Raw genomic sequence first — 25,215 nt, 5'->3', positions numbered from 1 at the left:
AAAGTGGTGGAATGTCTATTATAATAGGAATTACAGCAGTTACATATTTTAAAAAATACTAAATATTTATATGATATAAAACTAGCAAACTCTTCTTCTCTTTGTCTTGTATCCTGAGTCTGCTGATATTTTCTCTTACTACTGTGTGATAATGAAACTCTGAGCCCAGAAGATAGTACCTTTTTGAAAGTTCGAAACAGCAAGACAAAAAGAGTATATCTGGGTCATTTTTAGGAATAACTTAACAGCCAGCTAGATTCTCAAAGTTGTTCCTTACAAAAAAAAAAAAAAAAAAAAAAAAAAAAAAAAAAAAAAAAGGAGGTGTTCTTGACTTGGGGATTTTAAAAATAAGAACTTGAATTTCCTTTCTTTTAGCTAAATCTTCATAGCCCAGTGCTTTTCAGCAATGATTAAGTAACACCAAGATTATCTTGTTATTGTAAATGTTATCACAAAATGTTTCTATGGAAAGGAAAACAAAATATATTCAAGTAAGTCTCTAAATATTTGGATGAAATGAGGACATTTCAATATAAAAAGGGAGAGAAAACTTAGAAGTTTTATGATTCTATCCTTTACTTACTCTGCACACCTCTAGCAAATATTTGAAAAACGCAGATACTTAGATTATGTCCCTTTATAACCTATTCTACTCTCAGAGAAACAATATTGAAATGTCTACCAATTGGTCTCACTCTCCCCCCAATTAACTATATTAAACACTACATCTCCTTTTCTGGCATTGCAACTGAATACTCTGAAGAAAGTCACTTAAATTCTATCCAAGGATTTTTGGTGTGACTAAATATCATAAAAATTTGAAACTAGAAAACAATGAGAATTATAGACATTGATATGAAATGTGTGTGTGTGTGTGTATATATATATATATACATAATATACATATTTTCCAATCTTGTTAAGAAAAAAAAATGATACTCTATCACTAGATGAAAATCTTCCTTCTGCAAGACCCTCAAGCCCTCACTGAGCTAAGGATCATAACATTTGCCAAAATATAACTTTATGATTTTCCCCAAATATACCTGGAATTGCTGAGATGCACATATTAAAATTGTATACACTTAAGAGGCTTTAATACTTCTTTGTGCATATTTATGTTGCATAAAGAAAAATGTAGGGAGAAGAAAAGAATTATATTACAACTGTCAAATGTATACTGCAGTGAAAAAAGAACTTATCTGCAAAGATGTGCTTCATCTCTACAATAAGATCGATATTTTTCTAGATGACTCAAATGGTTTTCTGCAGTTTTAAGAACTTCCTCTTATTAATATAGGGCACATGGATACTGAGCACCCGAATAGTTACAAGAGCAGCAGCAGCAACAGCAACAATAATAAACATAACTACCATTTTTTGAACTCCAAATATGTGCCAGAGAATTTTCTAAGCCCTGTACCTCTATATATCTACTAACACATTTCATCCCCACAACAGAGATAAATACAATTAATATCTGTATTATGCATGAGGAAAGTGAGACACAGAAGAATTCATTAAATTGCCCAAAGACACATAGCTCTAAATGGCAAAGCTAAGATTTGAACGTAGGCAGTATGAATTACGACCATTGTGCTACTCTAAATGCAGTTATATTACAATAATTTCAAGGTTATAAAAATTATAGCAAAAAAATTTTACAATAAGGCATAATATTGAGCAATAGCCTTAACCCATTATCCCTTTTCTCTGGAGTGACTCGATATGAAAATGTGAAAAGAATAATACAAACACTTATAGTTACTTTGGAAGAAAGGAAATTAAGTTTGCTTGGCAGAATGTTACCTTGTCAGCATACTAGAGACAGGACAGAGCCTCCTGAGGACTAGGATGTGGAAAAATATTCCACCTTTGACTTTAAAAGAAGAGGTTTTCAAATAAATGTTTGATCACATAGTAAATGCATGTTTCTCAGATTTGATGTTATTCATTAATGATGAAACAAAGATACTAGTAGAAGAAATGTACGTTTATGAATTATCAGAGGTAAGAAACCTGAGATGACAAATCTGACAGGATTCAAAATATGACAGAAACTAGAAGCATTTCATGAGACGAACAAAAGAGATTTTATTAAAATTAATGAGTCTTATCCCAATGTTGAAAGAACTGAGGTTTTGCCTATTAGAGTTATAGTTAAGTTGATCTATTTTTTCCCTACTCTTGAAGTATTATCAGTTATCATGGCTAAATGTATCCCCCAACACATCCTTACTGACATTTGTGGACCAGCAATGCCACAGCCAATTCATCACTTGACTCTCATATGGTCTAAATGCTGAACCTATGATCAAAAGGGGAAAAAAAAACAAAATATTGACAATATTGATAGTGTTTCTGTCCTAAGTTGTTTTTAAAATAGAAAAATAATATATGTCATAAAAAATATTTTTCCTCTTCAAAATACAGACATATTGAAATAGACTTTCACAGTGGCAAGGATATGAGAATGGGGAACAAATGAAAGGGTAGCACAAAGTACTGTGTTCAGTAGTCAACACTGTTTGTCAATCAATATGGACTTGTTTAATGAATTCTCAAATGTCATCATTAAGAGAAATGAGCATCTGTTATTTCAGTATGTAAAATGAATTAATTCTCTGTCAGTCCAGGAGAGCTCTGACAACTCTCATTTTTAGACCTATCATTATTATGCACACTGATGTCAGAATAAGGTATATTTTCACTTTAAGCAATGCATCTACAGACATATGTAGTAAGTGCCTCTCTCTGGCTGGCATGCACAGTCCATTTTTGCTACAAATTCTTCTTGATTTTTGATACAAGTATTACATTACCTTGGTAAGCAAGCTCATTTAATATGACAAAAAATAAACCCAACAGACTTGGTTGAAATAAGTTACTTCAGAGCAGGAAAAGCAGAGGCACAATGTAACTGAAAGGCTATAGGCTTTGCTGTCAGAGAAACTAGGACTTCTATGTGATATTGAGCTAGTTATTTAACCATGAGATTAAGTTTACTCAACTAGAAAATAGAGGTAATACGTATCTCATAACAGATATTGTGGAGATTCAATGATATTCATATGCCAAAGCTGTATGTGTTGTTAAATTATGTTTAACCTAAAACTGCCTCCTTACATACTTTAAGTTTGACCTAAAGATTTCTCCACACATAGTGAACAGTGACCTCACTGTATGTAAACAGACTGTAATGTACTCTTGTAACAAGTAGCCAAGTCTCAGCCAATCACAGCGGCTGAATTTTGGCCAATCACAGGCAGCCGACTGTTCAAACCATGTTCAAAGAAGGCAAAAGCCCAGCACTAACCAATCCAGATGTTTCTATACCTCATTTCCATTTTCTGTACATCACTTTCATTTTTTTGTCCATAAATGTTATTTGACCATGTGGTAACCCTAGAATCACTCTGAATCTATTCTGGTTCTAGGGGCTGTCCAAATTTCACTTTCTCTTTTTACTCAATTAAACTATGTTAAATTAAATTTGTCCAAAGTTTTTCTTTTAACAATGTTCAACATTTCATGTTAAACAGACTTGGGAATGACAAAATTGATAATGATTGTATAATCAAATTAAAATTTAGAGCTTTTGTATATTGTGAGTGGAATGAAAAGAAATAGGTGTTTTAGCCAGCCCCCAACAAAGCTGTTTCTTAACATTCCTTATAAATTGGTATATAATTTTCAAAATGTAAAAAGGAAACTCAATTAGAAAAAAAAATCTGACCTAATGAAATCTAATTATATCTAAAATTCAACATACTGAAATAATACTTTTTTGTATACCAACTTCAGATGGAAGTTAGAATGGCCTATCTTGTGTTAACCTGCATTGCAGAAAGTCATAGCACATATTCAAGTTCAGGACAGTGCTAGACAACTTTTTCTAAATGAATGGTTATCTTTATCAATGTAATTCACACACATACTTTAAAATAAAATAACAACAATAAAGAAAATTCTACAGAGGAAAAAACTGGCTTTCAATGTCATGTCTCAGCATTACTACCATGCCACCGACTGTCTTGCATTTGATGAGTTCCCAGAATTCCTTAGAGTGACTTTCTCTCATTTCTCTTAACTTGTCCCCTCTCCCCATGTCCCCTCATTCAGCATGTTATTTCCAAGTACTTGGTGGAGTCCTGAATATATTAAATAGCAGTTAATGCAATCTTGCTCTGTGGCTAGAGGTCCTTGGGATTTCAATGCTTGAACCAGGCCCCACTCAACTAAAAGAAGTTAAAAATTTTAACTGATTTCTTGCTACCCCATTCTATGGCAATTTTTCTTCCTTCTGTTGCTTCACCAAGGACACAAGCAATTATGATTTTTTGAAGAGGGTTGCATATTCTGCATTTTAGTTAATTTGGATTTCTTCTCTTTGGCTTTCTGATATATTCAAGAAAACTATGATGTTACATCTTTTATAGCTTTTACTCTGTGTTAGGGTGTAACTGATGGTAACTTGTCATTTTTATGTCTACATCCTAACCATAAAAAGAATACTTATCTTCAGTTTTAAAGATTATTTTCACTGAAAGTAGGATTTAAGGGTAACTGATATTTTATTTCAAAATTCAGCAATGTAATTCCCCATCTTCTTTCATCATTTATTTTGACAAATTATTTGTCATTGTTATTTTTTTCTCCCATGAAAGGAAGTCTCTTTTTTCTCCTGGCTGCCTGCAAAGTTTACTCTTTTTTTGTTTTCTTTTGGCAATATTATTATGGTGTGCCTCAATGTGATTTTTCTTTTCTTTTTTTTTTCATGCAGCACATGATCTACAGTTCTTCATGAATCTCTGAGTTCATGTCTTTCAGCAGTTTTGGACAATTTTTCGACATTTAATATTCTGCCCCATCTGCTCTCTCCCTTTCTCCTAGGAATACCTTTTACTATGAGGAAAAAAGGATATGTATTTTCACTTTTTTCAAAATTCCTCATAATCAATTTTATACATTTGTATTCTTTCTAGATTTTCAGATTTATAACTCATATTAATATGTCTTTTACTATACAAATTCAGTTTCTCTTATATATAGTTTGCTTTTAGTAATTTTAGTAATTATATTTATTATGTTGTTCAGGTCTGAAATTTTCATTTGGTTAATTTTTAGATTCACAGTTTCTAGTGACATTCTCAATTTTTCATCTTTCTCCATAATTTTTCTAGATTTTTAAGTATATTAGTCATAGTTATTTTAAAGAACTGAGTGTGATAACTTTCTTACGAGTATCACTTAGAGTCTATTTATATTGTGATATGGTCATATATTCCTGTCTCTATGCAGTGCTAGTCACCTGTATTAAAATAAAAAAATATAGAATCTTAAAATAATTTCTTCTCTAAGAGAATGTTTCCTCATCCTATCCCCGAGTGAGAGTTTATTTCTTGAATTCAATCTAGAACTAAAATAAATCACATCTTGGTAAGACCTTTAATAAATCTCTATCTTCCTTGTGTTTGCCAACTATTTACTGTAGGGCTTCTCCTTCTACTTCTTATCCCTCTATTTAAAAGTAAATAACAAACAAACAAATTCTTGGATTTGTTTGGGTTATTTCATTGCAGGTGTACAGAACCCAATTCCAATTAACTTGGTAAGAAACATGTAATTTCTTGCAGAATTAAAGAGCAGATAAAGGACCAGGCTTGTAACAAATGATAGGCAACATCTCATGAAATAAGTTAGTGCTGGGTGGATAAATTAATTAACAATCGGATTCAAGTTTCTTGCCATGAGTCCATTAAAATACAATTTCTTATTTTTCTAACTTTTTAATTTTTTATTAGATAGCAATTTCTTGGATTTTTTTTAAAGCCCAATTTTATAAGTTGAGATAATTTACTGACAAGTTCAGGAGAAGAACATGGAACCTCCGAGAACATAAGGGAAGGCAGGTAAATTTGTCTTCTGACTAAAAAATGTTTCTTATAAATGAGTACAAGGTAAAAGCCCAAATATTAGTATTTCCTAGTATTATCTCATGATACAAATGTCATTGTTTACAAAAAACCATTTTACATTCAGGACACAAAAATAGAAAATGAAATATCTGTTATCTGAAGCCAACAGAAACACCCGAATTTATTTCCAGGATGGCTAGTTATTTTTGGTATTTCTAGAAGGCTCACTAAGATCTAAAATTGTATGACTAAGGTATATTTTAAAAGATTTATTTGAAACATAAGATACATTGAATTCAAATGATTCATGGTTTTTTCATGTGATATGTTTGAGTTAATCTAGAAAAATTATAATGTGAATAAATAGTACTGACATTTAGAAATATTAAGAAACATTTACTTTCTGTAGTATGAATCACTGAATGTTACAGCTGAAGGGGACATTAGAGGTCAAATAAACTTAACATATTATTTTATATGAACTATTCTGCATGAAAGTGCTGAGTCAGTAAGAACTGTGTATGGCAATGATTCACTTTTGGTTTTACAGATTCTGAGATTGTTGGGCCTTAGGTCATGGCTCATGATATATTTCTTTAATCAAATAATTCTCATTAGTAAGATAATTTTTAAAAATGTATTTAATAGGCCTATTATATGAATTATCTTTTTTATATGGCTCTAGAGACCCATGGAGAAAGCAGTTGAGCACTATCACTAGGAGTTAGTTGATACTCATGCCAATGCTTTCTAATATAATGACAAAATGCATGTTAAATACTTATAAATAATATAAACTTTTACACAGAAACAGGATACCGTTAAGCATTCTAAATGTTAAAACTGAATAACCTGTATGCTACTGCCACCAAACTTAGCCTTAAGGAACTTCTCTGCTGGCAGAGCTTTAGACTTTATCATTAGAGTAACAGCAATTGCAGCACAAAATATCAGGTTATTCGTTCAAGATCTCACACTATAAGTTAAATGGCAGATCTAGGAAGAGTACTTACTCTCATATCCAAACACTGTGATATTCTGCACAAATTTAATGTAACTTTCATGGGAGGGACAGTTTTTTAACAAGGAATATTTGCATTGTTTTGTATATTAATGGTGTGTTCTAAAGAAGCACTTTATTCCTGTCCTTGAGGAGCTTATAGTCAAGTTGGCAGATAGGATGCAAATTTGAAATGTTTTTAAATTATTCAATGTACATGCATATTAGCATAGTAAAAAGTGATTATGTGAGAATTGGCAAATTATATAGGGTTAATCTAGTACTTTGTGAAGACAAATTTTAAATCAGGTTTTGACAATGATAAAGATGAATGCAGATATTAGGGGAAAAGTCTTTGTTAACACAAAGGGGGGAATGCATAAGTGTTCCTTAGAGCTTAGTAAAATTGTTTCATAGATGAGGATAGACAAGTGGAGAAGTAGTTATTGGGGAACTAGAATGCTACTCAGAAGGCCTTATATTTGTCGAATTAGGAAATATTAAAACAAAACCACTGTAGTTTCCTTAGCAGGAACATCGCACAGTGAAAATAGATCAGGAAAAGAGTATTTCAACTATGAGAAATATCATACTTTAAGAAAAAAACAGAGCATTTGCATAGCAAATAGCAATTTTTAATTCAATATTCTCATTTTTCTTCACAACTACCATTTTTGGCTTTAAGTACTAATTGTTCTCTTGCATTCATATTCTTTTTTTCCCTTTAATAATAGAACCTCTAAGTTTTAGTTACAAGATGATAACTTAGCAAGATATATTTCTTAGTCTTTTTTTAGTGTAGATGTGTCCATGTACTCAATTTGGGCCAATGGTATATGCAAGAATTATATGAGCAAGCTCTGGATCATGAATTTCCTTCTTCACCTTCTTCTGGTCTGGAAGGTGGATATGGATGCAAGTCAGCATTAATGATATGATCAAGAACAGAACACCTGGAGATAAGAGCAAAATGAAAAGAACCTGGATTCCTAAATGTTTTTATGGGTTAGATCATTTTCACCAACCTTGAACAATTCACTTTTATACTGGTTCGTGTAAAACTTCAGCAGTATAGCTTGGACACTAAAACATTAATTCAGAAATTAGTACCTAGTAGTGGGGTTTTGCAGCAATAAAAGTTTAAAATATCTGACATTGTCTTTGTGTTCTGACAGTAGACAGAGAAAGGGTATACCATATGCCGATATGCCAGTGACACTTGTCATGTGGAAAAACACTTGAACTATAAGCAGTGATAACTGGGAGTAATACCAAATGTTTTTGAACTTGTAGCTGTGTGAGAAGAGGCTAGAAAAATAGAGCTCCATTCCTTGCTAATTTTAGCAAAATCCTATAAGAAAGAGATAAGCCCAAGCAAGAATCTGCCAGTTTGCAGGCAAGGTGGAAGCAAGGTTCTCTTTACCTGTGGCCTGTAATTTAAATTACTGAGAATCAGAGACTCCGAGACATGGAAAAGCCAATATTTCTGTATTTTAAACAGCAGAAGATAAGATTGTCACTCAAAGCCTTTCCTGGTCAGACACGGTCAGCCTAGATTTAAAAAAAAAAACAAAAAAACAGATTTAGGGTACTATCCTTCCATTTGAACCTATTGTTTCATTTGGCAACCACTCCCGAATTATGGGAGAAAAGGAGGAGAAACTTAAAGGTGCGGTAATGGCTGCCCAATGTAATTAATTCCCTCACTGAAAACAAAAAAAAAAGTAGATAAAATGGGGAGGAAAGAATGAGCACTGAAGATCTGCAAGAATGTTCCTGGACCAAACTGAGGGTTGGGCTACTATTTTTCGCAGCCCAATAATGAGATGCAGATAAACTGGGGAAGAAGAGAGTTGTTATTTCTGTTACTGGTTACAGAGAGAAGGCCTGGAAATTATTGGCAGGCCAACTCAAAATTACAAAGATTTCCGGAGCTTATATACATTCTAAGCTATATGTCTATGTGTAAGTGTGCATTTATCTAAAGACATAAGTGATTAACTTCTTTTAGTCTATAACTAAGATGTGAGTCCTGAAGACCTTCCTCTGGAGCCTCAGTAAATTTATTTAATCTGAATGGGTCCAGGTGCCAGGATGATTACCCTTATCTTGTCTCCTGCTAAATCATGGAGGTTTGAGGAGTTTCTTTAGGCCCCCAATAAACTTATTTGTGGAGGCCTGGGGAGTTTCTTCAGACCCATAATAAAACTTGTTTAATTCTAAATGGGTCCTGTTAAGAATTCCTTCCTTATTTTGTCATACTTTAAGGCCCAGAAAAGGCCTAGGCAAAACTCTTGATGGGTTTTTGTTACAGGCCAGCCTTTGTATAAGGATACTTGCTTTTAACATTTAACTTAACCACTCAGTACTGAAACAGTTGTTAGTGAGACCTGACCTGCCACAAGGACAATGGGGGTTATCCTAGCTGATTTTTGATTAAAATCCTGTAACCAGAATACAATATCAGAAAACAAAAATAGGTTTTCTGGTTGCTTTTTGGTTCTAAAAACTATGTTTTATTGTTTGAAACTTGTTTTGTCACATGTGCTCTAGAAACCATTTTCATCAGAGCCACTTGAAGGCCTGGGTAAATCAAATCTTGGGTCTCTCCTCCTAATACTTAACAAGTCAGATCACTGCTGGTGGACTGTGAAAACTTTTTTTTTTTAACAAAAACCCCAGTTGATTGTTATGCACACTAAAGCTTTGAAACAACTTTCTTTTTTATTAAAAATAAGAATATTAGATATAAGTCACATGTCTGTTTTTCTTTATATGGCAATAAACACTGTCAATGACAAGCAGATACTAAGCATATTTGATGAGACTGAAAATAGAAATAACAGTTATTTTAAAATATCTATTATTCACACAGGCATATGATTATTAATCTACAGGCTGTCAAATAACTGTATGACTATATCTATTTTCTTTTTTCTAACTTTTAAGTCAGGGTACATGTGCAGGTTTATTATATAGGTATATATAATATGTATATTGTGTATATATAACATATATAACTTATGTATAACAATATATAAACTTGTGTCATGGGGATTTGTTGTAGAGATTATTTTGTCACACAGGTATTAAGTCTAGTACCCATTAGTTATTTTTCCTGATCCTCTATCTCCTCCCATCCTTGGCCTTCCAATAGGCCCCTATATGCAGTGTGTGTTGTTCCCTTCTATATGTCCATACGTTTTCATCATTTAGCTCCCACTTATAAGTGAGAACACCTGGTATTTGGTTTTCTGTCCCTGTGTTAGTTTGCTAAGGATAATGAATGACCTCCAGCTCCATCCATGTTCCTGCAAAGGACATGATTCCTTCATTTTTATGACTGCATAGTATTCCATGGTGTATATATACCACATTTTTATCCAGTCTAATATTGATGGGCATTTAGGTTGATTCCACGTCTTTGTTGTAATGAACTGTGCTACAATGAACACACACCTGCATGTCTCTTTATAATAGAATGATTCATATTCCTTTGGATATATCCCAGTATTGAGATTGCTTGGTTGAATGGTGTATCTCTTTATAGGTCTTTGAGGAATCGCCACACTGTCTTTCACAATGGTTGAACTAATTTACACTCCCACCAATGGTGTATAAACATTCCTTTTGCTCCACAACCTCACCAGCATCTGTTATTTTGTTCTTTTTAATAATAGATATTTTGACTGGTATGAGATGGTATTTCATTGTGGTTTTGATAGATTTCTTTTTTCATATGATTGTTGGCCATGTGCATGCCTTCTTTTGAGAAGTATCTGTTCATGTTCTTTGACCTTTGCCAGATGCATAGTTTGCAAAACTTTTCTCCCATTCTGTAGGTTGTCTGTTTACTTTGTTGACAGTTCCCTTTGCTGTGCAGAATCTCTTTAGTTCGGCTAGATCCCATTTGTTAATTTTTGCTTTTGTTGCAATTGCTTTTGACATCTTCGTCATTAAATTTTTGCCCATTCCTTTGTACTGAACGGTATTGCTTAGGCTGTCTTCTAGGGTTTTCATAATTTGGGGTTTCACATTTAAGTATTTAATCCATCTTAAGTTAATTTTTGTATATGGTATAAGGGAGGGGTTCTAGTTTCAATCTTCTGCATATGGCTAGCCAGTTATCTCAGCTCTATTTATTAAATAGGGAATCCTTTCCCCTTTGCTTGTTTTTGCCAGGTTTTTCAAAGATCAGATAGTTGTAGGTGTGAGGACTTATTTCTGCGTTCTCTATTCTGTTCCATTGGTCTACGTGTATTTTTTTTGTGCCAACTATGTTTGGGCTACTGCAGTCCTATAGTATAGTTTGAAATACAGTGATGCCTCCAGCTTTGTTCTTTCTGTTTAGGATTGCCTTGGCCATTCTGGATCTATTTTGGTTTCATATGAATTTTTGAATAGTTTTTTTCTAGTTCTATGAAGAATATCAATAGGTAGTTTTATAGGAATAGCATTGAATCTATAAATTGCTTTAAGCAGTATGGTTATTTTACAGTATTGATTCTTCCTATCCATTAGCGTGGAATGTTTTTCCATTTGTTTGTGACATCTCTGCTTTCTTTGAGCAGTGTTTTGTAGTTCTCCTTGTAGAGATCTTTCACCTCCCTTGTTAGCTGTATCCTAGGTATTTTATTCTATTTGTGGCAATTGTGAATGAGAGTGCCTTTCTGATCTGACTCTCAACTTGACTGTTTTTGGTGTATAGGAACATTAGTGACTTTTGGACATTGATTTTGTATCCTGAGACTTTGCTGAAGTTATTTATTAGCTTAAAAAGCTTTTGGGCTGAGACAATGGGTCTTTCTAGATATAGGATTATGTCATCTGTAAGCAGGATATTTTGACTTCCTCCCTTCCTATTTAGATGCCTTTCTTTTTCTTGCCTCATTGCCTTGGCCAGGATTTCCAATCATATGTTGAATAGGAGTGATGAGAGAGGGCATTCTTATCTTCTGCTGGTTTTTAAAGGGGAATGCTTCCAGCTCTGGCCCATTCAGTATGATGTTGGCTGTGGGTTCATCATAGATGGCTCTTATTATTTTGAGGTATGTTCCTTCAATACCAAGTTTGATTAAAAATTTTTAGCATGAAGGGATGTTAAATGTTATTAGAAGTCTTTTCTGTACTATTGATATAATCATGTGGTTTTTGTTTTTAGTTCTGTTTATTTGATGAATCACATTTATTAATTTGTTTGTGTATGTTGAACCAAACTTGCATCTCAAGGATAAAGCCTACTTGTTCATGGTAAATAAGCTTTTTGATGTGCTGCTTGATTTGGTTTCCCAGTATTTTGTTGAGAATTTTTGCATTGATGTTTATAAAAAATATTTGTCTGAAGTTTTCTTTTTCTGTTACATCTCTGCCAAGTTTTGATATCAGGATGATGATGGCCTCATAGAATGAGTTAGCAAGTTCCTTCCTTCCCTCAATATTCTGGAGTAGTTCTAGCAGGAATGGTGTCAGCTCTTCTTTGTACAGGTGGTAGAATTTAGCTGTGAATCCATCTGATTTTGAGCCTTTTCTGGTTGGTAGGCTATTTATTCCTGACTTTGTGAGCTCATTATTGGTCTGTTCAGGGATTTAATTTCTTCCTGGTTCAGTCTTGGCAGGGTGTATATATCCAGGAATTTATCCATTTCTTCTCAATTTTTCATTTATGTGCATAGAGGTATTCATAATATTCTCTAATGGTTGTTTGCATTTCTGTGGGGTCAGTGGTAATATCCCCCTATCATTTCTGATTGACTTTATTTGAATCTTCTCCCTTTTCTTCTTTGTTAGTCTAGCTAATTGTCTATTTATTTTATGGACTTTTTCAAAATATCTGCTCCTGGATTTGTTGATCATTTGAATGGTTTTTTATGTCTCTGTATCCTTCAGTTCAGATCTTATTTTGGTTATTTCTCATCTTCTACTAGTTATGAGATTTTATTTTCTCTTGGTTCTGTAGTTCTTTTAGTTGTGATATTAGGTTATTAACTTGAGATCTTTCTAGGTTTTTGATGTGGGAATTTAGTGCTATAAATTTCCCTCTTAATATTGCCTCAGCCATGTCCCAGAGATTCTGGTATGTTGTATCTTTGTTCTCACTAGTTTCAAAGAACTTCTTGATATCTGCCTTAATTTCCTTATTAACCTAAAATTCATTCAGGAACAGGTTATTTAATTTCCATATGATTGTATGGTTTTGAGTGAATTTCTTAATCTTGATAACTAATTTGATTGCACTGTGATCAAAGAGTGTTTATTATGATTTCAGTTATTTTGCATTTGCTGAGGAGTGTTTTACTTTTGATTTTATGATTGATTTTATAGTATCTGCCATGTGGCAATGAGATGAATGTATATTATGTTGTTTTGGGATGGCAACTTGTATAGGTATCTGTCAGGTCTATTTTATCCAGTGCTGACTTCAGTTCCTGAATATCTTTGTTAATTTACTGTCTGGATGATCTCTCTAATATTGTCAGTGGGGTGTTAAAGTCTTTGACTATTATTGTGAGGGAGTCTAAGTCTTTCTGAAGGTCCCTAAGAGCTTTGTGAATCTGTGTTCTCCTGTGTTGGATGCATACAGATTTAATAAAGTTAGATATTCTTGTTGAATTGAACCTTTACTATTATGTAATGCCCTTCTTTGTCTTTTTGATCTTTGTTGGTTTAAAGTCTGTTTTGTCAGTAACTAGGATTGCAATGTCTGCTTTTTTCTATTTTCCATTTGCTTGAGATATTTTTCCCCATCCCCTTATTTTGAGCCTATATGTGTCTTTGCATGTGAGATGGGTCTCTTGAAGACAGCATACCAAAGGGTCTTGGTTGTTTATCCAGCTCACCACTCTTTGTCTTCTAATTGAGGCATTTAGCCCATTTAAATTTAAGGTTAGTATTGATATGTGTAGATTTTATCCTGTCATCATTATGTTAGCTGATTATTTTGCAGACTTGTTTATGTGTTTGCTTCATAGTGTCCCTGGTCTGTATATTTCAGTGTGTTTTTGTAGTGGCTGGTAATGGTCTTTTCTTCCCATATTTAGTGTTTTTTTTAGGACGTCTTGTAAGGCAGGTCTAGTGGCAACAAATTTCCTCAGGATTTGCTTATCTGAAAAGAATCTCATTTTCCTTTCATTGATAAAGCTTAGTTTGCTCAAATATGAGATTCTGGGTTGAAATTTATTTTCTTTAAGAATATCCAATATTGGGCAGGGTACAGTGGCTCATGCCTGTATTCCTAGCACTTTGGGAGGCTGAGGGGGGGTGGATCACTTGAGCTCAGGAGTTTGAGCCCAGCCTGGGAAACATGGCAAAACTCATCTCTACAAAAAATACAAAAGAAAAAAAAATAGCCAGGCATGGTCACACACAAATGTAGTCCCAGCTACTTGAGGGGCTGAGGCAAGAGGATTGCTTGAACTCGAGAGGTAAAAACTACAGTGAGCTAAGATCGTGCCACTGCACTACAGCCTGGGTGACAAAGTGAGATCCTGTTTCAAGGAAAAAAAAAGTTCAATATTGGGCTTCAATCTCTTCTGGTTTGCAGGGTTTCTGCTGAGAGGTCTGCTGTTAGTCTGAAGGGCTTCCCTTTGTAGGTGACCTTACCTTTCTTGCTAGCTACCTTTAACATTTTTTCTTTCATTTCAACCTTGGAGAATCTGATGATTATGTGTCTTAAGGATGATTTTCTTGTAAAGTATCTTACTGGAATTCTCTGCATTTCCTGAATTTGAATGTTGGCCTCTCTAGCTAGGTTGGAGAAGTTCTCATGGATAATATTTTGAAATGTGTTTTGCAAATTTGTTCCAATCTCCTCATCTCTTTCAGGGACACCAATGAGTCATAGATTCTATCTTTTTATATAATCCCAAATTTTTTGGAGTTTTCATTCATTCCTTTTCATTATTTTGCCTCTATTCTTGTCTTACTGTCTTATTCAGAAAGGCAGTCTTCACATTCTGAGATTCCTTTCTTCATTTATCTATTCTGCTATTAATACTTGTAATTGCATTATGAAATTCTTGTGGTGTGTTTTTCTACTCTCTCAGGTCAGTTATGTTCTTCTTTATATTGGCTATATTGTTTGTCAGCCCTTGCAATGTTTTTTTCATGATTTTTGGCTTCCCTGCATTGGGTTTCAATGCACTCCTGTAGCTGAATGATCTTCCTTCCTATTCATATTCTCAATTCTATTTCTGTCATTTCAGCCCTCTCAGCCAAGTTCAGAACCCTTGTTGAAGAGGTGATGTGGTCATTTGGAAGAAAGAAGGCACTCTGGCTTTCTGAGTTTTCAGGGTTCTTGTGCTGATTTTTACTCATCTTCGTGGGTTCATCTATTAATAGCTTCAATCTTTGAGGTTGCTAACCCTTAGATTTTTTTTTCTTTTTTCCTTTTTGATGACCCTGAGGGTTTGATTGTGGCATTTCTGACTAGCTTCATTTCTGAGAGATTTTAGGGGTCCAAAACTCAGCTACCAACACCTGGACTGTGTGCTTTAACTCTGGGGGACTTGTATTGGGCCCCAACTTTGTTCTCTGGCTCCTAGAGGTTTGGAGTCCACTGCACTGGAGAGAGGTTTGAGATGCAGCAGCTGTGGCAAAGGGCTAATAAGTGGTGGGGTGCCTGCTTTTCCGTGGGTGTTCACCACAATGGCAGAGGTAACAGTTGTGGGAGCAACGGCGGCTACTGACAGATACTTTGTATGTGGTCGGTTGCACTGGAGGTGGTGTAGGCTTGGGGATGTGGTGCTGGTGGACACAGTTCTGGGTGGCTTCTCTGTACACCACAAGCACACATGATCATTCAGGGTCTGGAAAGATCCACTATTCCCTGTGCAGTGTTAGCACAAGGGCAGGGCATTGGCAGGAACAGGGTTTGCCAGCTCTGTGCCCACCAAGGCTTCATCTCCAATGGTGGTTGGTTGGGGCAGGGGGCAGACTATACTCCTGCATGTTGGTGGGGCAAGGAAACAAAAACATGCCCAGGCAGACATGTACCAGCAAAGCGATATGGGGAGTTGCCATGGGCCCAGGGGAAGCTGCAGTATGGGGAGGGAAGGAGCAGGCTTTTCTGTGGCCATAGGGGCTACCTCATTGGCTTCTCTACTGGTCAGGCATGGTCTTCTAGTGCAGAAGCTATGGTGTAGGCCCCAGGGCACCCAAGACTTCCCTGCAAGCAGGCACAGCTGGGCTGGGGTCCCACAAGTTGGCTAATAGACCAAGGGATGCTCAGGTCAGCCCTATCTAATGGGCAAGACCACCCTGCAGAGATCAGGTCTAACTGTTCCCTTAGGGCTAAGACCTCCTATGGGAGCAAGTAAAGCCTAGGGAGATAGCTGTCCCTGGCTGTGTTCTGCTACAGATGCTCCCACATCAACCCTCTGGGCTCCACATCAGCTGGATTGCTGCCCTTATCACTTCTATAAGCAGCTCTCCCTGCCAACTTGAGTGTCCATGGTGATCAAGGAGTCTTCTCCTGTGGGGTTCCGGAGGCCCATGGTGACAGTGGGTTTCTCCAGTTCAACCGTTTCTCTGGAGCTGCTGAGGTCTGAAAATCAGTTGTGGTGTGTGGTAGCCCTGTACTGGGTTCCCAGCTTTTTCTCCCTTCAGCTCAACTTCTGTGTCTTCCCTCTGTCTATTCTCAGTGCCTTCCCTCAAAAGATCTGTTAAAACCATGCCAGTAATCTTAGTCCCTCAGTGGGAGCTCTTCCACATGGCTGCAGCTAGTCAGTCATCTTAGATCCTACGTCTATTTTCTCAGAAGTAAACTCAACAAAATCACTTTCAGTTCTAACTTGCCATAGTTTTTAGAATTAAAAATATTATATTTATTTAAAATATAAATTCTTTGGAAAAAACAATGAACAGTTTTGAAACATTTGATGAGGAAGTATGCACAGAGGTGGGGGGAGAGAGAGAAAATTTGTATAGCCCTTCCTTATTAAAAAGAATAATCTTGTTAATAAATTAATGGCAAGAGATGTGACATATTTACAAATGAGCCTTTTAGAAAAGCTTAACTTCTTATTTTTTGAGTCCCTGTCTCAAAAGAAAAAAAAATAAAAAAGCTTTCATTAAGCTTTAAATAATGATATGAAAGTTAACCTGAATGGTCTTGGTAAATGTTAATTTATGAACCTTTTTGTTAAATGCAGAATTATCTTTGCATTCAAATAATACTTTACACCAGGAAAGAGTTAAGTTGTAAAAGAACATGGATATGAAACATGTCTTTGAAAAACAGATATTAGGCATAGCAAATACAAAAATAATCCTTGGTTTTAGCTTTCTATAAATATTTAATGATAATTTTTGCCTTAGCTAATTTTTAATTGCATTAGCATGCCCTTGTGCAATATGTATATTAACCTGCACAGTTAACTCACTTATTAAATCATATATTACTTTAAATCAAAATAAAACTTTTTATAAATAAGACTATATTATATTACAATTAAATATTAAAATGTCATTCAGTGAAAATAACATATGGTAGCTATATTATATATTTAATGGAATAACCATATATCTTAGATCAGTTCTGTATCCTCTGTTCTAGTTTAATTGCTATGCTCATCCCACAGATCATTTTGTAAAAATTATTAGACTGTTAAGATAGTTCTCATCTCTACCAAACTAAGTAAAGCACTTAACACATTTTAGCTGGAATTTATATCCAAATGACCACCTTATTTAAATATGAGTGCATATTATTCTCATATTATAACAAATTAGCTGGAATTTATATCCAAATGCCCACCTAATTTAAATATGAGTGCATATTAATCTCATATAGTAACTATACTGATAAATTTGATCTATGGGAATGGTAGCATCTGAATCTTGAAGGCTTTATTAACTTCTTAGCAATTTCATATTATTACAAGATCTGTAAACTAAAAATACTCAAAAAAGTTTCCTCTAAAGAGAAGCAAGTATTCTAAGCTAACTTTATAAGGACATAGATAAAAGTTAACTTATAAGCAAATATATGCTCAACCATCAACAGTGGACAAAACTTGTTTCTATGGAAACTAGAATATGTTAATAGCTTCCCTTCTTGGAAAACAGCAGGAGGAACAGTAATGTCACATCAATTAACAAACAGTAAAAGCAGGACAGGAGGTAAAGAAAGGAGCTTAATTTAAGTTTAAAAATTAATAGATAGCCAGGCACAGTTGCTGACACTTAGAATCCCAGCACTTGGGGAGGCCAAGGTGGAAAAACTGCTTGAGGCCAGGAGCTCGAGGCCAGCCTGGGCAATAGGGCAAGATCTTGCCTGTACAAAAAAAAAGCAGCTGGGTGTGGTGGTGTGTGCCAGTGATCCAAGCTACTTAGGAGGCTGAGGCAGGAGGATAGCTTGAGCCCACGAGACTGAAGCTGCAGTGAGCTATGTTCACACCACTGCAATCCAGCCTGGGTGACAGGGGGAGACCCTGTCAAAAAAAAAAAAAAGAAAAAGAAATGTGTAAAAATTAAAAAACATATACATTTTTGTCTTGAAGAAAAGAAAAAATTAGGCTGGTCAGAATCTCAAATTCAGCAGTGATTTGATTTTTAATGTACATGTTCTGGGGATTGGCAGCCGTGGACAATATTATATTCCACTCAAAGTGGGCCACCTATTTAAGTCATCTTTGAGGGAGGAACTCAGGGAGGCAGAATTAGATTTTATATCTAGGAGCTATTTTTTATTTAAATCTGTCATAATTTCTATATTTTGTGTAAGATTAATATTATGTAATGTGGTGATTAAATTTAAAATAATTGAAAAGAACTCTGTTGAAACCTTGAAGTAGACTTAACATGCTTTTCAAAAGTATGTGTACTCTGACTAAGTGAAAAAACAGTTCTGGACAATGTTTTTTCACTCTCCAATTAAAGGTTTATATTTCTAAAAGCATTAAAGTACACTTTAGAAAGCAATTATATTTACCTATCAATTTTAGAAAATCAAGTATTTAACCAAATAATTTTTGGTTTGTATCCAAATGTGATCATTCTAAAGTTTGTACATACTGTAAAATGAAAGAACTTTGGGAGGTCGAGGCAGGTGGATCACGAGGTCAGGAGATCGAGACCATCCTGGCTAACATGGTGAAACCCTGTCTCTACTAAAAATACAAAAAATTATCTGGGCATGGTGACATGCACCTGTAGTCCCAGCTACTCGGGAGGCTGAGGCAGGAGAATGGCGTGAACCTGGGAGGCAGAGCTTGCAGTGAGCCAAGATCGCGCCATTGCACTCCAGCCTGGGCGACAGAGTGAGACTCCATCTCAAAAAAAAAATAAATAAAAAATAAAAATTAAAAATGTAATGGCATGCTACAGAAACTATCTATGCCACTAGGAGTAGACAGCTTTTCAACTTTGAAGTGTTATTAACTTCAGAGCCTTTACAAAATTTTTTAACTTATTGAAGCTCTTTTCTGTGGGTATCAACATCTAAAGTAATACATTATATATATAGTTTTCTTAAACTCGAATATATATGTCTTTAAATGTAATTCATTCTTATCAATATAACTGATACTCAAGTTCACAAGTATAGGGGCTGAGTGTGATCACTTTCATCTCCATCATAAGGATCATGGCTACACTCCTATAATAGAAAACAGGTTAACAAGAGAAAAACATAACAAATGTATTTGATCATTTTTTATGTAACATGGGAATGTTCAGAATAAAGACCCAAAGATACAAGGAAAATTATCTATTTTTATGCTTAGGTTCAATGAAGTATGGACAGCAGTGTAGAAATATGATTGGACAAAAAGGGTATGAGCTAATGTTAATAGACTGAGCGGGGAAAGCCAGCAAGACCTCTGTTTAGATTCCTTTTGGCTTTTCTGTGCAGCATTCCAGAATTCCTTCCTCTGAGAGCGGGACAGGATCCTCTCTAGAATGTTGATCTTATGACCTACAGTCAAACAAGGTAAGTCAGAGAATTTCTTTATGTCCATTTTTTACACAGAAAGGTGAAAAAAAGTTAAAGTGATATTTTCAGGTTTTATGGATGACTGAGGAAAAAACATTCTGGTTTCTGCTACACATCTTGGGAAAGAGAGATTCCAGTATCTATGGCTGGCCTTGTGGAGAACAGGATGTGAGAGACAGGAAGGCAGGAGAAGGTAAAGGAGAAACTTTTGCTTTTAGGCTGCTTCTAATGCCTTCATTATGGTGTATTATTTTCTGAGCTCCAACATTCCCTGGTTTGAAACTCGCCCAAGAAGTTTTACAGTCCAGAAACTGGGATGATGAATTGGCTTACAAGCCATTGAAATGGTCTCTCTGTTCTAAGAATAGGCCAGTCCAGTTTAAACAGCTAACAGTTTTGTCTTATTTTAGGCAGTAGTGTTGCAGACAAGCTTCTACAAAAGTCCTAGACTTCTAATTTTGTATAATGTATCTAAACAAATATCTTCCCCACTGACAATAGGTCAATATATGCAGAATTAAAACATAGGCATCATTAATAAAGCATCCAAAATGTATAAGAATGCTAAAGGTATATTCAGGGTGTTGTAAATATCAATCTGACCCAAAGAACTATAGACTTTTGCTGATAGAAGAAACTTTAGATATAATCATCTAGTTTAAATTTTCTCATTTTAAAAATAAGTTTTGAAACTGAAGACCAGGAATATCATATCTATACTACATAACATTATTTAAGTAAGATTGTATGTTCTCAATCAAATATTTAATAATAACTATTTTGAGCATCACTGAATATTTATTTATATATTTTTTGCCTCTTCATAATAAAAAGGAGAAAAATATGAACACACTTAGACTAAGATATCCATGACAGTAGAAACCCTTTTGTGCCATTGAGTCTTCAGCCAGTAGCCCAAAACTTGTAAAACTTATTCCTCATTGGTATAAGAAATAGCAGTACAGATTTTTTTTTCCAAGATGGCAGATTAGAGGTTTTAGTATGCCTCAGCCACTTGGAAATGGCAAGATAGTATGGAAAGATCAACTCTGTGAACTTTAATTCAAGAAGGAAAATGGGAATCCACTTGAACTGTGAAGGATACCCAAGATCACAGGGAGGAGAACCCCAGCAAACAGCTCCTGTGATGGTGTCTGGGTGATAAAAGTAAGTGATGCCCTAGTATGTGAGCAGTCACTCCCTCTGTCACTCATTTTTCCACTGGGGATCCAAGCAACTCAGGCAGAAGGAGAGCACGTTGTTTCTCTCAAGCCATGAAGCTAACTTGAAGACAGGGTTGGAGATGCTGTGAGGGAAGGACAAGAGGAAAAGCTGCAAACATTTTTCCAGACCAGGTACTGAGAGCAGGATGCCATTTTTAATGTATGCACATAAGAAAGGCAACCCAGCAGTGTGGCCATGGAGATATTTTAGTCTTGTGTGGCCATGTAGATATTTCAGTCTCAGGCCAGAGATTGAAGTAACTGCTCTGGAGTGGAATAGGGGCCTCCATAGCCAGAATTGTGGAAATCCCATCAGAAGTAGGTATGGGATTATGCTCTCCTCAGTTGCAGGCCTGGGGTGGGAGGAGGGCTGCTACAGTTGCAGTATTTTCAGGTCAACAGGACTTGCAACGAGGACCACCTTAGTGACCTGGAACTGATCTGCATTTGCCATAGTTGGGTGCCCAAGCCTGCTCTTCTGAGATCATGTTGTAGCAGGGCCCACTCTACTCCACCCCCAAGCATAAATCCAGGCATTAGGAGCACCCACTTTCCTGGACCACCTCACACTTCCTGGACATGATTGTGGTGGAATGGGGTGCTCTCTGCTTCATGCCCAGGTACATCTCCAGATATTCAGAGCAACTGCTCATTTGTGTCAGCAGCCTGAGCCACCCCACTCATCCTGGACATAGATTGTGAACAAGATTCTCTCTACTCCATGCCCAGGCAGATCTCCAGGCAGTCAGATCACCTGCTTACCTGATTCAGCAGCCTGAGTCACCCCATCCCTCCTATACAGAGATCCTGGTGCAAGGGAGCCCTCTCTGTTACACGCCAAGGTATATTTTCAGGCATTCATGGCACCTGCTTGACTAGTTCAGCAGCCTGAGTTGCCTCTCCTCTCCTGTGCAAATACCTTGGTGCAGGAGAGCCCTCTCCACTCTATGTCCAGGCCCACCTCCAGGAATCTGGAGCTCACACTCTGTTGGATTAGAATTTAAGCCACCCTCATCCTCATACAGACAACTTGGGGCCAACGAGGTTACTCAGATCCATGCCTAGGCACACTTCTGGGTGCTTGGTGGTCACCTGTGGATTTTCCTTTGGCACTGGTGCTTGTGCCTTCCATCAGGGGACTTGTAGGCAAACCTGCCCAGTCCAGCCTTACCCATCACAGTCCCCAGACCCCTAGAGCTGAGGAGGAAGCCCAGAACCCTGTGTATTTCATGCATCATCCCAGTGCCCGAGGAAAAAAGAGTTTCTGCCGGTAAACTAGGTTCAAATATATATACAGCCATGTTGGCTACAGCCAGTTCCTCCCTATAAGCACCAACTAATGGCTCATAGGTCAAAGTGCACAGCCCAGTGTAAACCTGCAGACGTAAGTTCATAAGGCTAGAGAAGCAAAGCCAAAAGACCCTGCCCAGCATTCTCTACAGTTGTACTCCCTAGTTGGGAAGTGGGGGAGGAAGGGAAAGTGAAAGATAAACAATACTGTAGGGAAAAGAAAGACAAAGAAAAATTCTGCCCATATGAAAATAATTATAAAAATTACAAGTGCCAGCATCCCCAGATGAGAAGAAACCAGGGCAAGAATCTTGGCACAATGAAAAATACAAATGTGGTGACACTACCAAAGGATCACACTAGCTCTCCAGCAATGGTTGCTAATGAGAATGGAAACTCAGAAATAACATAAATAATTCAAAGTGTGGGTTGCAAGGAAGCTCAACCATATGCAAGACAAACTTGCAAATCACAAAGAAACTTCTAAAGCAATCCAAGAAATGAAAGATGAGATAAACATTTTGAAAAGAAATCAATCACAGTTGAAAAACTCACTTGAGAAATTTCAAAATACAGTTGAAAGCTTTATCAATAGACTAGAACAAGCAGAAGAAATAATATCAGAGCGCGAAGACCAGACTTTCAAACTAACCCAGAAAAAAATGAAGCAAAAAGAACTTTTAAGAATGCACAAACGTTTTGAGAAATGTGAGATGATATAAAGTGACCAAACCTACAAATTATTGGCATTCCTGAGAGAGAAGGACAAAAAGTAAATAACCTGGAAAATATATTTTAGGAAATAATTAAAGAAAAATTTTCTAATCTTGCCAGACATGTAGAGATCCAGATACAAAAATATCCAGAGAACACGTGAGAGATACTATACAACATGAACATCACCAAGGCATATAGTTAGCAGAGTGTCCAAGGTCCAAGGTCTAAGATTTTTTCTTTTAAGAAAAAATCTTAAAGGTGGCTATTGAAAATGGTCAAATTACATACAGAAGGAACTCCATCAGGCTAACAGTGGACTTCTCAACAGAAATCTAAAAGCCAGGAGAGACTGGGGGCCTATTTTCAGCATTCTTAAAGAAAAGAAATTTCAACCAAGAATTTTATATCTTGCCAAACTAAGCTCTAAAGGCAAAGGAGAAATAAAAGCTTTTCTACACAAGTAAGTCCACGGGAATTTGTTACCACTAGACAAGTCTTACAAGAATTCATAAGAGAGTTCTAAACATAAGAATGAAAGAATAATACCTGCTACCAGAAAAATACACTTAAATACATATCCTACAGATGGTGTAACGCAACCACGCAATGGAAATTACAAAGCAAACAGCTAACAACTTCATGATAAGATCGAAGCCTTACATATCAATATAAACCTTGAATGTAAATGTTCTAAACACCCCCACTTCAAAGGCATGGAGTGGCAAGTTGAATTAAAAAAAACAAGGCCCATTCATCTGCTATCTTCAAGACACCTATCTCACATTTAAAAATGCCCATAGGCTCAAAGCAAAGGGTTGGAGATAGATCTATCATGAAAACAGAAAATACAAAAGAGCAGGGGTCAATATTCTCATATCAGATAAACAGACTTTAAACAAATAACAGTAAAAAAGGACAAAGAGAGCACTACATACTGATAAAGGGTTTAATGCAACAAGAAGACTTAACAATCCTAAATATATATGCAGCCAACATTGGAGCACCTGGATTCATAAAATAAGAACTTCTAGACCTACAAAAAGACTTAGCCACACAATAATAGAAAAGGACTTCAACACTTATGGCATTAGACAGGTCATAGAGGCAGGAAACTAAGAAATTCTGGACTTAAACTTGACACTTGATCAATTAGAACTTATAGACAACTATAGAATACTCTACCTATCAACCACAGAATATGCATTCATATCACCTGCACATGGAACATACTCCAAGACTGACCACAAGCTCACCCTAAAGCAATTCTCAATAAATTTTAAATAATTGGAATCATACCAACCATATTCTCTGACCACAATGGAATATGAATAGAAATTAATACCAAGAAAGTCTCTCAAAACCACATAATCATACAGAAATTAAAAAACTTGCTTCTGAATGACTTTTGGGTAAACAACAAAATTAAGGCAGAAATCAGAAAATTATTTAAAATAGATGAAAACAGAGACTCAATATAGTAAAATGTCTGGGATGCTGGAAAAGCAGTGTTAACAGGAAAGTTTATAGCTCTAAATACCTACCTTAAAAAGTTAGAAAGATCTCATATTAGTGATCTCTCATTATACCTAAAGAAACTAGAAAAACAAAAACAGTCTAAACTCAAAGCTGGCAGAAGAAAAGAAATAACTAAAATCAAGGTAGCACTGACTGAAATTGAGACACACAAATACATACAAAAAATCAATGAAACCAAAAGTTGAAAATTTGAAAGGATAAATGAGATTGATAGACTTCTAGATAGATTAACAAAGAAAATGAAATAAGAAAAGTTTCAAATAAGCACAATGACAAAGGTGCTTAAATGACAAAGGTGACATTACAACTGATCCCAGAGAAATACAAAAGATCCTCAGAAACTTTTACGTACACCTACATGCATACGAACTAGAAAATCTAGAGGAAATGTATAAATTTCTGGAAACACACCTCCCAAGATTGTATCAAAAAGAAACTGAAACACTGAATAGACCAATATTGAATTCTGAAACAGAATAAGTAATAAAAAGCTTACCAATAAAAAAAAAAAGCCTCAGACTAGATGGATGCACAGCCAAATTCTTCCAGACATACAAAGAAGAGCCGGTACCAATTCTACTGAATTGTTACAATTCAGTA

The 25,215-nt window shown here is 35.7% G+C and overlaps 1 long non-coding RNA gene across 2 annotated transcripts in view, besides 1 other annotated feature; it reads left to right on the top strand.

Moving 5' to 3' along the window:
• The window catches only part of LOC105369839 (uncharacterized), a 34,784-nt gene that overhangs the window by 5,397 nt on the left and 4,172 nt on the right, over window positions 1-25,215 (top strand). Inside the window, exons 1-2 of one of the 2 annotated variants that reach the window (XR_001749104.2) lie at window positions 16,408-16,457; window positions 19,769-19,846. This is a non-coding gene — a long non-coding RNA (uncharacterized LOC105369839). Of the gene's footprint in view, window positions 1-16,407; window positions 16,458-19,768; window positions 19,847-25,215 lie in introns of those variants that run through there. The other variant, XR_001749105.1, reaches the window with a different exon arrangement.
• Window positions 21,145-21,644: an enhancer, noted in NCBI's record as "H3K27ac hESC enhancer chr12:73709711-73710210 (GRCh37/hg19 assembly coordinates)". NCBI's record gives its function as "activates a minimal SCP1, AML or CMV promoter by ChIP-STARR-seq in primed H9 embryonic stem cells {active_cell/tissue: H9 hESC(primed)}" and the evidence as "EXISTENCE:reporter gene assay evidence [ECO:0000049][PMID:30033119]".

This window comes from Homo sapiens, chromosome 12 (assembly GCF_000001405.40).
Source record: "Homo sapiens chromosome 12, GRCh38.p14 Primary Assembly".
Taxonomy (NCBI): domain Eukaryota; kingdom Metazoa; phylum Chordata; class Mammalia; order Primates; family Hominidae; genus Homo; species Homo sapiens.
This window is presented reverse-complemented; position numbering and strand designations above follow the sequence as displayed.